The sequence below is a fragment of the Homo sapiens genome, chromosome 7, assembly GCF_000001405.40.
Source record: "Homo sapiens chromosome 7, GRCh38.p14 Primary Assembly".
Lineage (NCBI taxonomy): Eukaryota > Metazoa > Chordata > Mammalia > Primates > Hominidae > Homo > Homo sapiens.
In genome coordinates, this window is record NC_000007.14 from 6,826,441 (window position 1) to 6,844,011 (window position 17,571).

Genomic DNA, 17,571 nt, shown 5'->3' on the forward strand with positions numbered 1-17,571 from the left:
CGCGTTTCAGGAAAAACCGAGCGGGCACTGTTTTTTTGTTGTTGTTGTTTTTTCTGATAGGGTCTCAGTTTGTCATCCAGGCTGGAGTGTAGTGGCGCGATCTCAGCTCACTGCAGCCTCAACGTCCGACACTCAAGCAATCCCCCTGCCTCAGCCTCCCAAGTAGCTAGGATTACAGGCGCGCGCCACCAAGGCCAGTTTTATTTTTTTGTAGAGGTGGGGTCTGTGTTGCCCAGGCTGCTCTCGAACTCCTGGCCTCAAATGGTCTCCCACTTCGGCCTCCCAAAGTGCTCCGATTACAGGCGTGAGACACCACCGCCCAGCCTGTTGTTGTTTTGGTGGTATTGTTTTAAATTTAATTTAGAGACAAGATCTCGCTTTGTCACCCAGGTTGGAGTGCAGTGGTGCCATCATAGCTCACTGCAGCCTCAACTCCTGGGCTCAAGGGATCTTCCCACCTCAGCCTGAGGAGTAGCTGAGACCACAGGCATGCACTACCATGCCCAGATAATTAAAAAATAGATAGATAGATAGTAGAGACAGGGTCTCACTTTGTTGCCCCGGCTGCTCTCTAACTCTTGGCATCAAGGGATCCTCCTGCCTCTGCTACTGGATGGAAGGTCTTGACCGTGGATTGCCCAGGTTCTTGGCTTGTTGAACACAGAACTGAACAAAATGCAATGCACAAAGTAACAAAAGAACAAAGCAACGAAAAGAAACAAAAGAAAAAACCGGAGTAAGGAATAGACAGATTTATTGAAGCGAAAGTACAACTCACAGAGCAGGAGCAAGACAGAGCAAACAGCTCAAGAGCCCCCATTAGGATTTTCATTAAGCTGGAAGAATTAGGTAACGCCCCTAGGTGCCCGTTAGAGGTCTCCGATTGGTTACACCCTCTGAAGGATTGGCCTGTGACCAATCAGAGGCTGAAGTGGAGACGCGCACCCGCCCCCCCGTCAATCAGAAGCTGTCACCCTCCCCCCCGGCCAACCCCCTGTCGTCCGTCAATCAGCCTCTGATTGAGGGAATGAACACGTGGCCTCTATGCTGCCTAATCTTGCCTAGAACTGGCTGCACCTGCTGTTCTTTTGTTTATGCCTTAACCCTTGGTTACCCTCATTCCCTATTCTGCCTCACCTGCCCTCCGAAAGTGCTGGGATTACAGATGTGAGCCACCCACACCAGGCCCATTGTTTTGTTTTTAGTTTATTTAAAAAGTATTTTATTCTAAGACAGCACTTTGCTCTGTTGCCCAGGCTGGAGTGCAGTGGCCAGATCAGACCTCACTGCAGCCTGGAACTCCGGGGCTCAAGTGATCCTCCCACCTCAGCCTCCCGAATAGCTGGGACCACAGGTGCATGCCACCATGGCTGGCTAATTTTTAAATTTTTCGTAGAGCTGGGGTCTCACTATGTTAACCCAGGCTGGTCTCGAACTCCTGGGCTCAAGTGATCCACTGGCCTTGGGCTCTCCAAGTGCTGGGATTGTAGGCATAAGCCCCTGTGCCATGGCAGTTTTTTTTGTAGAAGGAAATGTAGAGACACAAAGGAAGCCTCATTTAGAAATAAACAAGGCTGGCCACGGTGGCTCATAGCTGTAATCCCAGCACTTTGGGAGGCCAAGGTGGGTGGATCACTTGAGGCCCAGAGTTCCAGACCAGCCCCGTCTCTACTAAAATAAAAAAACTAGCCAGGAGTGGTGGCACATGCCTGTGGTTCCAGCTACTTGGGAGGCTTGAGGCAGAAGAATTACTTGAACCCAGTAGGTGGAGGTTGCAGTGAGCCAAGATTGCACCACTACACTCCAGCCTGGGCAACAGAGCAAGACCCTGTCTCAACAAAAAAAAAAAAAAAAAAAAAAGAAAGAAAGAAGAAAAGAAAGAAAAGAAACACACTTAGGGGCAGATGTGCATTCCGTTTGGCCCATTAACATCATCTACAGAGTCCTTGTTTGAGAGACCTCAAGTGACCACTGGATCACCCACACCTACAAAGCTTGCCCCTTCCCCCCATTCCTTCAGCGCAGGTCTGGAGGCAGATGGGGCACCATGTGTGCCACGGGAGCAATATCAGAGGTGGCAGACTCCCCAGAGTGGCTGTTCCTGGACCTTGTCGCCTGGGATTCCCTTGCCTTTGAGTTGTGTGGGTTGTGGCATAGTTGGGATGGCTTGTTACAGTTATGTGGATTCAAGCCTTGGCAGCATATGGTTTGACCAAACTCAAGAAGACTTTGGTTTAGATTGCCTTATCTGTCACATATTAAGTTTGGAAGCAGAACCACTTCCCTTATCCAGCCTGGCAGATAAGGGAAGTGATGAGTTGGAATTTGGACTGGAGACAGATCTGGGTACATATCCACTTTTGCCATTCACCGACTGCACCAATCTCCTTGCACCAAAGAAGAGATAGAGACTCTCTCGTCTGTATCTCTTATTTGGAAAATGGCTAATAGTAAATTCCTGCCAAGTGAGAGTTTCACTTGAAGAGTTAAATGGGACTATGAATGTGCATCAGGTGCCAGCAACTCATCATTATTTCATAAACTGTTGACTTTCCCAATTAGCTTGCTCTAGTGCATGCAGTTATTCCATGAGAAATACATGTTTTGGCTGGGTGTGGTGGCTCATGCCTGTAATCCCAGCACTTTGGGAGGCCGAGGATGGCAGATCACTTGAGGTCAGGAGTTTGAGGGCCAACATGGTGAAACACTGTCTCTACTAAAAAATAAAAATAAATAGCCATGCGTGGTGGCAGGTGCCTATAGTCCCAGCTACTCGGGAGACCGAGGCAGGAGAATTGCTTGAACCCGGGAGGCGGAGGTTGCAGTGAGCTGAGATTGTGCCACTGCACTCCAGCCTGGGTGACAGAGTGAGACTCTGCCTCAGTAAATAAATAAATAAATAAATAAATTAATTAATTAATTAATATAAAGTACAAGGTGCTATATAAGTGAGTGAGATTAATATTTTATAGTATGAGTCACAGTTTCTCCCAGGATACCTCTGTGTCCTTGTACATGTTTGCCTCTCCCTTCCTCCCACATACAATTCATTGCAGGAGGCATCGAAAGAGGGAGATGACAAAAAACAAAATGAAACATCCAGAGATCAAAGAAAAGAACATGCTTTTATGGTTTCAAAGTTAAGGATGCAAGAACGCTTAGACCTCAATGCATCTGCCTCTCCAAACACAGTCCTTGGGTGTGCACGGGTACCAGGCAGGAGTGGTAGTGACGACAGATACCCACATAGGTTTGGAGGTCTCAGAGGAGAGGGTGTGTGTGTCTTTCTCCCTGGGGAAGCTGGGGGAGGTGGTGAGCTTTGCAGAGTTCCCCTCTGGGTCAAGCATGGTTTGGTAACAGTAGAGTAACCACGGAACAGGGGTATCTGGATGAGAAATCCTTATTGTTCAGGAAGAAGCTGAATGACTTACTTGTGCACAGAAGGAATTCAGAGAAAGCCAGTGCTGAGAAGCCTCAAGGTCAGGACCAGGAGGAGGTAGCAGTGGCCCCTCAAGACCACGAGAGTAGAGAGGATTGAGGATGACTCTGTGTTCACTATTCGGACTGAGAATACTCCAGTCCCATCTGGGGCCTCGACTCTCTCCCCTAGCCTATGGTAAGAAGGGAGAAGAGGTTGCTTAATTACCTGACATGATTAAGATTCTGACACCCAGCACAATGGGAATTCAAATCAAGTTCAGTTACAGAAATAGAAGTTAGATGTTTTGCGCAAAGAATTTGCGAACTCAAATTCCAAAGGAATGAGCTGTGGGAAAGACACATTTTGGTGTTGGAAAGGGAGCTCAGTTCCAAGTAGAAAGTGACAGTTCCAACCGGGTGCAGTGACTCATGTCGGTAATCCCAGCAATTTAGGAGGCCAAGGTGGGCAGATCACTTAAGGTCAGGAGATTGAGACCAGCCTGGCCAACATGGTGAAACTGCGTCTCTACTAAAAAAAAAATACAAAAATTAGCCTAGTGTGGTGGCAAGCCCCTGTAATCCCAGCTTCTTGGGAGGCAGAGGCACGAGAATCACTTGAACCTGGGAGTTGGAATTTGCAGTGAGCTGAGATTGTGCCACTGCACTCCAGACTGGGCTACAAAGTGAGACTCTGTCTACAAAAAAAAAAAAAGAAAAAAAAAGTCCCAGTTCCAGGCTAGGTGGTTCTGGACATAGGTTGTCACATATGTCTGTCTCCTCCCTATCAAGGTTATATATATATATATATATATATATATATGCGTGTGTGTATATATATACACACACCACAGACACACACACACACACACACACACACACATATATATATATATATATAGGTTTGAGACAGTCTTGCTCTGTTGCCCAGTTTATAGTGCAGTGGTATGGTCATAGCTCACTGCAGCCCCTAACTCCTGGGCTCAAGCGATCCTCCTGCCTCTGCCTCCTATATAGCTGGTCCTACAGGCACGGGCCACCATGCCCTCCTTCCTATCAAGGAAAGTGAACTTCTTGAGGCCAGGACTCTGTTGGGGCCATCTTCTGGTTCCTGTTGTCTAACACAGTGCCTGCGTCACAGGACACGGTAAATCTGTGTTGAATGAATGAATGGAGGAGGCAGGGGATGGGGAGGAGTGGGCAACAGACGTCAGAGATGGGCTTTCATCCTTCAGAGCTCAGCTACTGCTTATCCTATGAATGGAGCTCAGTCCACAGGCTGATCTGACATTCAGGTGAGTTCTCTGCTCCGCTCAGCACTGAGCTCTAAGAAGCAGCTGCAGGGTAAAGGTTTGGGTGCAATGTACACCTCTAAGACAAAGGGCCTCTTCATCCTATTCTGTTGGCAGAAATATCAGACCAGTGAATGGAGTAACCAATCTTAGTGGATTTAGAGCCCAGAGACACTGTGTCAGTCAGAGGTCACCTTTACTGTGAGGGTACATCTTTCTCCTGCAGTTAAAATTGTCCTTGACTTCCGTTTCCTCCTGAGATCACTTGTGAAGGAGCTTCAAAAAATCTGGTTTTTTGGTTTGTTTGTTTGTTTGTTTTTTTGAGACAGGTTCTCACTCTATCGCCCAGGCTGGGGTGCGGTGGTGCGATCTTGGCTCACTGCAACCTCTGCCTCCCAAGCTCAAGTGATCCTCCTGCCTCAGCCTCCTGAGTGGCTAAGATCACAGGTGTGCATCACCATGCCCAGCTCATTCTTTGCATTTTTGGTAGAGATAGGGTTTCTCCATGTTGGCCAGGCTGGTCTCAAACTTGTAAGAAAAAGCCATCATGCAAGTAATACCACGATTTGATAAAGTGTGGTGGCAGGTGCACAGGTATTATTTTGCTCAGTATTCTCCTAATGTTTGAAATACTTTATGATTTAAAAATAATTTAAGGGACAGGTGCAGTGACTTACACCCGTAATCTTAGCACTTTGGGAGGCTAAGGCAGGCAAGTCGCTTGAGCCCGGGGGTTGGAAACCAGCCTGGGCGACATAGTGAGACCCCATCTCTACAAAAAAAAGAAAAAAGAAGAAAGAAATGAAAAAAACTTAGCTGGGCTTGGTGGCACGCACCTGTAGTCCAAGCTACTCAGGAGGCTGAGGTGGGAGGATCACCTGAGCCTGGGGAGGTGGAGGCTGCAGTGAGCCATGATTGCTCCCCTGTATGCCAGCCTGGGCAACACACCGAGACCCTGTCTCAAAAACATAACAATTTAAGGTGAATAGATTTACAGTCATTGTAGAGCCCCTAGGAAAACAATGTCAAAATCTATACCCCCCGCCAAAAACAAGTTGACTTTTTCAAACCCGTGAAAACGTATGCAAATGAAGTCTTTCCAGTGAATAAATTAACAGGCCATGTGGAAACCGTCCTGGTGATTCCAATTTCATCTCTCTTCTTAAGTGTTTGCAAAGTAACCTCATACCTTAACATGAGCAGAAGAGATAGAAGATAGGTTTTTGCTTGCAATTGGATTCCTGAGTACCCATTCCATAAACTTAAACTGCAGTCATGACAGAGAATTAACTACATAGCTTGGAAACCTATACAAATAGGCAAGTATTTCCTATCATCACTGTTTTGCTATCCTTTGCTTATGAGCTAGAAAGAATTACTTTGTAAATACTGCTACTAAGTCTTTACTAAGTACTGCTACTTAGTAAATAACTACTTAGAAAATACTAAAGCATTTACTGAGTATCAGTACTTAGCAAATGACTACCTACAGAATACTAAAACATTTACTTAATAGCCATACTTAGCAAATGGCTACTTACATAAAATGAAAGTATTTACTGTGTAGCAGTACTTAGCAAATGACTACTTACAAAATGCTAACATATTTACTGAGTAGCAGTACTTAGCAAATAACTATTATAAAATACTAATTAATTACAGATTTTGTGCAATTATGTAGTAGTGCTAAATATTAAAATACTTAGTATTTTTAAAATACTAAAGTATTTACAAATTACTAAAGTATTTACTAATTAGTAGCATTTACAAAAAAGTATTTTCAGATTGGAGTGTATGGCATGATCATGGCTCACTGTGGCCTCAACTTCCAGGATCAAGGGATCCTCCCACCTCAGCCTCCCAAGTAGCTGGGACCACAGGTACATCCTAACACACCCAGCTAATTTTTAAGTTTTTTTTGTAGAGACACGGTCTCCCTAGGTTGTCCAGACTGGTCTTTTGAAAATTTTAATTTTAATTTTTTTCCTTCATTTTCTCTAGTTACCATGCTGCATTTTATTTTATTTCTCACAGTTGGTGTACACACTGTGACATTATTCATAATAGTCCAGTGGGATGTTACTCCTCAGGTCACAGGGGGTTAATACCCTGGGACAGTAATCCTCATATTCCAGGGCGGTGATACTCCTAAAGTCACAGGGTGTGTACCCCGTGATATTATTCGTCCTATTCTAGGGGGACATTACTCCTAATGTCACAGAGATGTACACCCTGTGATATTATTCATAGTATGCCAGAGGGATATTAGTACTAATGTCACAATGCATGTACACCTTGTGATATTATTCATAATATCCTAATGTCACAGGGGGTGTGTTCCCTGTGATATTATTCCTAACATCCTAGACGGATATTGCTCCTAACATCACAGGGTGTGTACACCTTGTCATATCACTCATAATATCCTAAAACTATGTTATTCCTCACTTCACAGGGGGTGTTCGCCCCGTGATATTACTCGTAATAGTTTTGTGGGATGTTACTCCTAATGTCACACGGGGTGTACACAGAGTCACACAGTGCTATGACCTGTAATATTCTATAGAAATGTTACTCATAAATCACAGGGGCTGTACCTCCTGCGATATTATTTGTCATGTTCTAGGGGAATGTTACTACTATTGTCACAGGGGGTGTACAGCCTGTGATATTACTCATCATATCCTAGTGGGATGTTACTACCAATGTCACAATGCGTGTACAACCTGTGATATGATTTGTCATATCCTAAAGAGATGTTACTACTAAGGTCACAATGCTTCTACACCCTCTGATATTATTCGCTATATCCTCGGGGGATGTCACTCCTAATGTCACACGGGGTGTACTCCCTGTGATATTATTCATCATATCCTAGGGGGATGTTACTTTTAATGTCACCGGGGGTGTGTATCGTGCCTATTCAATGCCTGTGATACTATTCCTAATATCCTAGGGGCATGTTCCTCCTAATGTCACATGGGGTGTACAACATGTGTGTACACCTGCTGTGATACTATTCATAATATCTTAGGGGAATTTTATTCCTGATGGCACAGGTGGTGTACACCATGTGTGTATACCGCCTGTCTCATTATTCATAATATCCTAGGGGGATGTTTCTTTTAATGTCACAAAGGGTGCACAAAATGTCACAGAAGGTGTTCACCTTGTGATGTTATCTGTAATACCCTAGAAGGATGTTACTCCCAATATGTCACAGGGTTGTACACCCTTTGATATTACTTGTAATCACATAGAGAGATATTACTTCAACTATCACCATGGATGTACACACATGGTGCATACCCCGTGATATGACTCGTAATATCCTAGGGAGATACGACTCCTGATATCACAGTGCGTGTACCCCGGGTGTGTACACCCTTGATATTAGTCGTAATATCCAGGGTAAAGATTACTCCTCATATCACACAGTGTGCACACCCTGTGATATTTTTCATCCTACTTTAGGGAGATATTGCTTCTAGTGTCACAGCGGGTGTACCCCTTGTGTGTGTACTCTGTGACGGTATTTTTTATATCCTAGGGAGGTATTACTCGTAATGTCACAGTGGGTGTTCACCCTGTGATATCATTCTTATTTGACCTTGCTGCCTTTTTGAACCCACACTACAAAAGGAATGGAACAGATAAGAAGATATTGAGATTAGACTGTGCTGCCGTGTGGCCGCCGCAGGACACCTTTAACATCCCTGTTTCTCAGGCTGTAGACGAAGGGGTTCAGCATGGGGGTGACAACCGCGTACATCACTGAGGCCACTGCACCCTTTCTGGGGGAAAATGACACATCCGAACTGAGGTACCCTCCAACGCCTGTTCCATAAACTCAGCAAACAACTGACAGGTGAGACCCACAGGTGGAGAGGGCTTTATACCTCCCACCTGACGATGAAACCCTCAGAATGGAGGAAACAATTTTAGAGTAAGAGAAAAGGGTCCCCGAGATGGGAAGAAAACCAAATATGGCGGCAGGGAAATACATGATTATGTTAATGGTGAAGGTGTCACAACATGCAAGATGGGGGAGTTGAGAAGGGTCACAGAAGAAATTAGGAATTTCCACATCCTTGAAGCAGGTCACTTGTAAGGCAATCAAGTTGTGCAGCTGGGCATCTAAAAGACTGAGAAAAAAAAAGACAACAAAACTAGGAAGCCACAGAAACACGGGTTCATGATGGCTGAATGATATAGAGGGTGACAGATGGCTACAAACCAGTCATAGGCCATCACACTCAGGAGCATGCCTCTCTTCCATGCCTCCAAAAATGACAAAGAGAGACATCTGAGTCAGGCAGCCTGCATAGGAGATGACTCTGCTGTGAGATTGGATGTCCACAATCATCTTGGGGACTGTGGTGGAGGTGAAACTGATGTCAGGCAAGGACAGGTTGGAGAGGAAGAAGTACACGGGGGTGTGGAGGTGGGAGTCAGGGCTGATGGCCAGGATGATGAGCAGGTTCCCCAGCACCATGACCAGGCAGATGGACAGGAACAGCCCAGCGAGGACCAGCTGCAGTTCTGGATCCCCTGAGAGTTCTAGGAGAAGGAATAGAGAGACATCTGTTAGATTCTGTGGCTCTGCATAGTTTGGATACCTTTTGCCTAGAAAAGAGGGTTGCAAAATGGGAAACAAGTAAACCAACACCCGGCATTGATTGTGTCTGCATTTTGAATAGAAGCAATTCACAAGTCATGTTTTCAGATTTCAGAGCAATCCACACTCAGCAATATTTTGCAGTTCTGATAAACTCAATTGTCTTCTAGTGCTTTCATCATTGATTTCTGTGTTATTCACTTCTTGCTGTACACACCTGCCTTAGAGACAATAGATTCAAGAATGTTCCAAGAACCAGATCATCATATATAACAAATTCATAATTGCTAGAAAATACAGCCTATCTTGTCTGAAGGAAAATATGTAATAAAACCATTCTCTTCACTTTAAGAAAAAAGTTATCCTAATTAAAGGAAACTAAGAACTCAAATATTTTATTTCATACTACTAGATGGATACAAATTCCCTTGATTTAGAACATTTATAAACACTGTAGAACAGCTGAGACCGGGCCAGGCGCAGTGGCTCATGCCTGTAATCCCAGCACTCTGGGAGGCTGAGGCGGGTGGCTCACCTGAGGTCAGGAGTTCGAGACCAGCCTCAACATGGGGAAACCCTGTCTCTACTAAAAACACAAAATTAGCCAGGCGTAGTGGTGCATGCCTATAATCTCAGCTACTCGGGAGGCTGAGGCAGGAGAATTGCTTGAACCTGGGAGGCGGAGGTTGCGGTGAGCCGAGATCAAGCCATTGCACTCCAGCCTGGGCTACAAGAGCGAAACTCCGTCTCAAAAAAAAAAAAATAAAAAAATAAAAAAAACAGCTGAGACCATGTCATCTGGAAATGAAATGAAAGTTGATAGTTCATAAGCAGAAAATAGTTCCACATGCCGGTTAGGTCCTAGTGATTTCATCATTATGTGTTCTGACTTTTCTCCTTCAAGAGAGTAATTGCTTCCTCAAATCGGTGGGTCTTCTTTGAAAATTCACGTAAGCTCTAACTCCTGTCCTTAGCTTAGGTGGACTTAGAATTTTCATCAGAAAGTTTGGCCGGACGCAGTGGCTCACTCCTGTAATCCCAGCACTTTGGGAGGCCGAGGAGGGTGGATCACGGGGTCAGGAGATCAAGACCATCCTGGCCAACATGGTGAAACCCCGCCTCTACTAAAAATACAAAAACTTCGCCCGGTATGGCGGCGCGGGCCTGTAGTCCCAGCTACTCGGGAGGCTGAGGCGGGAGAATGGCTTGAACCTGGGAGGCAGAGGCTACGGTGAGCCGAGGTCACACCACTGCCTCCAGCCTGGGCAACAGGAGCAAAACTCCGTCTCAAAAAACAAAAAACCAAAAGAATCAAGTAAGTCGAAGTCACACTGATGACAGCCAATTTTTGTGAACCAAGGAAGTATCAATTCAATAATTCACATAGATGTTGACTTTTGCTGTCTCCTATGTGCCAAGCAAGATATCGGCTCTGGGGCATCAGAAACAAAAGATACTCACTTGTTCCTCTCACAATACTCAGTACTTACTGAGATAAGGACAAAAGTAAATGTCCTGTCTGGAATGCAGAGAAACCAGAACTTCAGGTCAGGGGATATTTCCGTTGAATTGTATGGAGTTGAAGCTGAAAATATTCACGGATGTACCTAAAATTCACTTTGCCTTGACTTTACGCATCCATCACATAGAGATCACGCAGCGGGCACCCACGATCGGTTTCATCATCGCTCACTTCCATTGGATCAACTAGAAATCAGCTCAGATGAGAGTGCTGAGTCTCAGAGGATGGGCCTCTCACCCCTTGCCATACAGAGGAGTAGAAAAGGTGGTATTCCAAATTCATGGCCAGACTCTAAGTCCCGGGTACTATACTTCATGGTCTTCCAACTTTCAAAAAGTTGTGGTTTTGGTTTTGGTTTTGTTTTTGCTTTTTTGAGACGGAGTCTCATTCCGTTGTCCAGGCTGGAGTGCAGTGGAGTGATCTCGGCTCACTGCAACCTCCGCATCCCAGGTTCAAGCTATTCTCCTGCCTCAGCCTGCTGAGTAGCTGAGATGACAGGCGCCCACCACTACACCAGGCTCATTGTTTTCTATTTTTAGTAGAGACGGGGTTTCACCATGTTGTCCAGGCTGGTCTCCAACACCTGACCTTGTGATTCACCTGCCTCAGCCTCCCAGAGTGCTGGGATTACAGGCGTGAGCCACAGCGCCCAGCTTCCAAAAGTTTTCAACAGAGCTCAGAGGTCTTAACCACAGGCACATCTGAGGAGCATTCACAAGCAATTCACAAGGAACATCTTCACACTTGCTGACCATACACCGCCAGCAGTGTTTCTCAGTTGTGTCAATTCCAAAAATCTCAGAATTATTACGTGATTTACTTTTTTGCTATACAAGGCTTTCTGTACATACTACTTTAGAGAAAATCCACTGAAGAATATTAGAAGACCAAAACGTCATATATAAGAAATCCATGATCTCAGTAAAATACGGCCTGCTCTTTTCAGAAAAAATAGAATGCAATGAAAATGTTCTTCTCTCTTGAAGAGAAAGATCTCAGTCTAATTGAAAGAAATTAAGAAGCCGTGAAATACACTCTATTTTATTCTGACACCGTGCTACAAATTCCTTTGATGTAGAATACGTAAAAGGACGATACAAGAGCTAGGACCGCATTATCTAAAAATGAAATCGAAACTTAGAGTTCTTCATCGGAAGACCTTTTCACATGCCACTTACTTTTCGTATTTATTATCATCCTTAGGTTTTCTGACATCATTTCTTCATAAAAGTACATGCACACTCAAATATGGGAGCTGTGTTTCCAAATGAATTGAATCTATAACTCTCGGCCGAGCGCCATGGTGCACCCCTGTAATCCCAGCACTTTGGGCGGCCGAGGCTGATGGATCACCTGAGGTCAGGAGTTCCAGACCAGCCTGGCCAACGTGGTGAAACCCCGTCTCCAGTGAAAATATAAAAATATTAGCCGGGCGTGGTGGCGGCTAACCCTAGCTACTCGGGAGGCTGAAGCAGGAGAATCCCTTAGAACCTGGAAGGCAGGGATTGGACACCCTGTGATAGGATTTTTGATATCCTAGGGAGATACTGCTCCTGACAGCAGAGTGGGCGTACACCCTGTGATATTATTTGTAATATCCTAGAAAGATATTGCCCCTAATATCACAGTGGCTGTACACCCTGTGATCTTAATTGTAATATCCTACAGAGATATTACTCCTAATAATACAGTGGGTGTACACGCTGTGATATTATTCATAATATATTATGGAGATACGACTCCTGATATCACAGTGAGTGTACACCATGTTTGTACACCCTGTGATCTTATTTGTAACAACTTAGAAAAATATTACCGCTAATATCGAAGTGGGTGAACACCCTGTGATGTTATTTGTTATCTACTAGGTAGATATTACTCCTAATATCACAGTGTGTGTACACCATGTGTGTACAGACAGTGAAATTATTCGTAATACCTTAGGAAGATATTACTCCTAATATCACAATGGGTGTACACGCTGTGATATTATTGGTGATCCCCTAGGGTGATACGATTCCTAATATTACAGTGGGTGTACACTCTGTGAGGTTATTTGTAATGTCCTAGGAAGATATGACTCCTAATATCAAAGTGGATGTACACCATGTGTGTACACTCTGTGATCTAATTCATATTATCCCAGAGAGAGATTTCTCCTGATATCACAGTGGGTGTACACTCTGTGATATTATTTGTACTATCCTAGAGAGATATTGCTCCCAGTATCACAGTGGGTGTACACCCTGTGATATGATTCATAATATCCTAGAGAGATATTACCTCTAATATCACAGTTTCTGTACACCCTGTGGTATTATTCATCATATCCCAGGGAGATATTATCCCTAACATCACAGTGCGTGTACAGCATGGGTGGACACCCTGTGATGTTATTGGTAATATCCAATGGGGATATTACCCTTAATGTCACAGTGGGTGTACAGCATGTGTGTACGCACTGAGATGTTACTCGTAACATCCTAGGGAGAAATTACACCTAGTGTTACAGTGGGTGTAAACCGTGTGTTTCTATTCTGTGATGCTATTGGTAATATCTGAGAAAGTTATTAGTCCTAGTGCCACAGTGGGTGTATACCATGTGTGTCCACTCTGTGATGTTAATCGTATTATCCTAGGGAGATAGTTCTTATAACATCACTGTGGGTGTACATCATGTATGTACTCCCTGTGGTCTTATTGGTTATGTCCTGGGTTGATATGACACCTAATATCACCATGGGCGCACACCATAGGTGTACATTCTGTGATGTTATTCGTAATATCCTAGGGAGATATCACTTCTTATGTCATAGTGGGTGTACAGCCTTGTGATATTCCTGGTAGTATCCTTGGGATGTATTACTCCTGTTATCACAGTGGGTGTACACCCTGTGATAGTATTTGTAATATCCTAGCGACGTATCACTGTATACCCTGTGGTATTCTTTGTGACATTTGAGGGAGCTATTTCTCCTAAAGTCAGAGTGGGTGTACACCCTGTAATATTCTTCCTGATATCACAGTGGGTGTACACCGTGAGTGATTTTTTTTTCTAATATCCAGCGGGGGAGAGGATGATATTGCTTCTAATATCATGGAAGGTATACACCCCCTTGTGATATTGTTCCTAGTATCCAGGGAAGGAGAGGATGACATTATTCCCAATAGCACTGGGGGTGTACCACCTCCCGCCGGGATATTGTTCTTAATATCCGGAGGTGGAGAGAATGATGTTACTCCCAATATCCCAGGGGGTGTACAACACACCTGTTTGTAGACACCCCCTTTGATATTGTTCCAAATGGCCTGTGAAAGAGTCAATATTACTCCCATTATCGCAGGGGGTGTTCAGCCCTGATGATATTGTTTTCTAACATCCAGGGAAGGAGAGTATGATATTACTCCCAATATCGCAGGGCTTGTATACCTTTTTGTGTTATTGGGCCCAATATCCTGGAAAATAGAGGATGATAGTACTCCCAATATGGAAATAATTGTGCAGCACCCCTGTGATATTCTTCCTAATATCCAGAAAGGAAAAGAATGATATTATTACCAACAGCGTAGGAAATGTACACCCGCGCTGTGATATCTTTCCCCATATCCAGGTGCGGAGAGGATCATATTACTTCCAATATCGCAGGGTGTGTACACCCCCTCTGTGATCTCGTTGGTAACATCCAGGTTTGGGGAGGATGACATGACTCCCAATATCGCAGGGGGAGTCCCCCCCATGACCTTGTTAGTCATTTCCTGGGTGGAGAGGATGATCTTACTCCCAATATCGCAGGGGGTGTACACACCCCTGTGAAAATCTTCCTCATATCCAGAGGGAGAGAGGATGATATTACTCCCAGTACCGCAGGGGGTTTCCACAGCCCAGTGATACTCTTCCTAATATCCACAGGGAGAGAGGATGATATGACTCCCAATATCGCAGGGGGTGTACACAACCCTGTGATATTGTTCCTCATATCCAGAGCGAAAGAGGATGATATGACTCTCAATTTCGCAGGGTGTGTACACCCCTCCCGTGCTATTGTTCTGAATACCCTGGGAGGGAGAGGATAAGGTGACATTGAATATCGCAGGGAATGTACACCCTCCCCCTCTGATACCCTTCCTAGTATCCAGGGGAAGAGAGGATAATTGTACTCCCAATATCGCAGAGGCAGTACACCCCGCCTGTGATATTGTTCCCAATATACAAGGGGGGATAGGATGATACTACTCCCAATATCGCAGGGGTGTTCACATCCCCGGTGACATTTTTCCTAATATCTAGGGGAGAGACAATTACATGACAGCAAATGTCGCAGGGTCTGTACATCCCTTCCTGATATTGTTCCTAATATCCAGGGGGGAAGAGGATGATATCGAATATGAAAGGGTGTATACAACCCCCACCCCTAAGATATTGTTCTTAATATTCTTGAGGGGAGACGATGATATGACTCCAAATATCGCAAGGGTTGTTCACACCCCACTGTGATATCCTTTCTAATATCCAGTGGGGGAGAAAATAACATAACTTCCAATATTGCAGGTGGTGCATACCCCACCTGAAATATTGCATTAAATATCCAAAGAGGGAGAGGATAGTATTCATACCAATATCTAAGTGTGTGTACACGCCCCTTGTGACATGGTTTTTAATATCCAGGGGGCGGGAGGATGATATTAGTCCCAACGTCACAGAAGGAGTACACTACCCCTGTGATATTGTCCCTAACTTCCAGAGGGGAGAGGATGAGATCACTCCCAATATCTCAGAAGTTGTACATCCCCCGTGATATTGTTCATCATATCCAGGGAGGCACAGGATGACATTCCATTGAATTTCATGACAGGCATACACGCACAGTGTGATATTGTTCCTAATACCCAAGAAGGCAGAGGATGACATTAATCCCAATAAAGCAGTGTGTGTACATTACCCCTGTGTTATTGCCTCTAATATCCGGGACCGGGGGATGGGGGAGAGGATAACATTCCCTCAAATGTAGCAGGTGGTTTGATGCCCCTCGTGGTGTTGTTTTACATATCCAGTGGGGAAGACAATAATATTATTTTTGATAGTCCGATTCATCCTCTCCACCTTTCTGGAACTCTGAGGCCGGGAGGCGGCATGCACTTTCCGTGTGATCCCCAATACCTTTGCCGTCTTCTGTAGCAAGTCAGCCACAACCGCAGGCCCGTTATCTGAGCCAATCCGGAAGGGCTGTCCCAATCTACGAATCAGATCTCGAAGAAGCACATGGGTTACTTCACGAGCTTTCTCAGTTCGTGTTAGATAAGCCTCCACCCACCCAGAGTAGGTACGCCCAAGAACTAGTGAATACTTGTTACCTCCACACTTTGGCATCTCTGTGAAGTCTACCTGGAGATCTTCAAAGGGGGCTGCTCCATAAGCTTGTATGCCGGGTGGAACAGCTGGACCTGGCCTCGCATCATGCTGTCGGCAGCTGACACATCGCTGCCTCACCGTTTTGGCAAGGGCTGACAAAGGCGAGATGGAGAAATACCAGCCTAACAACTTTTTGCAGTGACTCCTGACCTAGATGGGTGGTTTCTTGCACAGCCAGTACAACTGCAGCTCCTGGCAGCTGTGGCACAGCTACTCTCCCATCCGGTAACCAAATCCATCCTTCCTCCATCACTTGTCCTTCCCTCTACCTGGACAAAGTCCTTTTCTCCTTTAGAATAAGCAGGTCCAAGATCAGGTGCTTGAGGGAGCAGAGGAGCTGTGACTGATGCCTGGAAAGGGGCAGATGCTGCTTTTCGAGCCTCTGAGTCAGCGCGGGAATTCCCCAAGCCCACCAAGGTGGAAGCTCGCTGGTGCCCCCTGCAATGCATAACTGCCACCTTGTGGGGTTTCCATACTGCTTCTAATACATGGAAGATTTCTGGTTGATATTTTCTGCCTTTTCCCCCAGAGTTCAATAGGCCCTTTTCTTTCTAGCATGCTCCATGCACTTAAAGGGTTAAAAAGGCATACCGAGAATCAGTGTAAATGTTGACAGTCTCACCCTCACTGAGCTCTAAGGCCCGAATGAAAGCAATGAGTTCAGCTTTCTGGGCTGAAGTGGCCTGGGGCAATGATCTGGCTTCAACAACAGTGTCCAGGGTTACCACTGCATACCCTGCACCTCTCTTTCCTTGGGTGTTGACCAAGCTGCTCCCATGCACGTATAGTTCCCAGTCTACTGATGCCCAAGGCTGGTCCCGGATGTCAGGTCTGCTAGGGTCAACTGAGTCCAACACTTCTACACAGTCATGCTCGACAGGGCTCTCTGATAGCGGGAGCAAGGTGGCGGGGTGTAGGGTGTTACAAACTTCAATGGTTATACGGGGATTTTCACAGAGCAAACTTTGGTACTTGGTGAGTCTGGCATTCGTTAGCCAGTGATGTCCTTTAGTATTCATTAAAGTCACCACAGCATGGGGGGCCTTTCTGTTCAGGTTCTGCCCAAGAGTCAGCTTCTTTGCTTCTTGTACTAGCAGAGCAGTTGCTGCCAAGGCCCTCAAACACAGGGGCCATCCTTTAGAATCCCCGTCTAGTTGTTTGGAGAGGTAGGCCACCGGCCTCGGCCAGGGCCCCACAGTTTGGGTTCAAAGTCCGGCTGCCATCTTTTCCCTCTCTCTGACACATAGGATGTAAAAGGCTTTGTCAGATCGGGTAGCCCCAGGGCTGGGGCTGACATAAGTTTCTCCTTTAA

At 45.3% G+C, this 17,571-nt stretch overlaps 1 pseudogene, besides 3 other annotated features; it reads right to left on the reverse strand.

Annotated features, from left to right (window-relative positions):
- Positions 778-1,072: an enhancer, noted in NCBI's record as "tiled region #9278; HepG2 Activating non-DNase unmatched - State 3:PromF, and K562 Activating DNase unmatched - State 9:DNaseU". NCBI's record gives its function as "activates a minimal TATA promoter and a strong SV40 promoter by Sharpr-MPRA in HepG2 and K562 cells {active_cell/tissue: HepG2 | K562}" and the evidence as "EXISTENCE:reporter gene assay evidence [ECO:0000049][PMID:27701403]".
- OR7E39P (olfactory receptor family 7 subfamily E member 39 pseudogene) lies at positions 8,383-9,354 on the reverse strand (annotated as a pseudogene).
- Positions 15,874-16,375: an enhancer, noted in NCBI's record as "H3K4me1 hESC enhancer chr7:6881945-6882446 (GRCh37/hg19 assembly coordinates)". NCBI's record gives its function as "activates a minimal SCP1, AML or CMV promoter by ChIP-STARR-seq in naive H9 embryonic stem cells {active_cell/tissue: H9 hESC(naive)}" and the evidence as "EXISTENCE:reporter gene assay evidence [ECO:0000049][PMID:30033119]".
- Positions 16,376-16,875: an enhancer, noted in NCBI's record as "H3K4me1 hESC enhancer chr7:6882447-6882946 (GRCh37/hg19 assembly coordinates)". NCBI's record gives its function as "activates a minimal SCP1, AML or CMV promoter by ChIP-STARR-seq in naive H9 embryonic stem cells {active_cell/tissue: H9 hESC(naive)}" and the evidence as "EXISTENCE:reporter gene assay evidence [ECO:0000049][PMID:30033119]".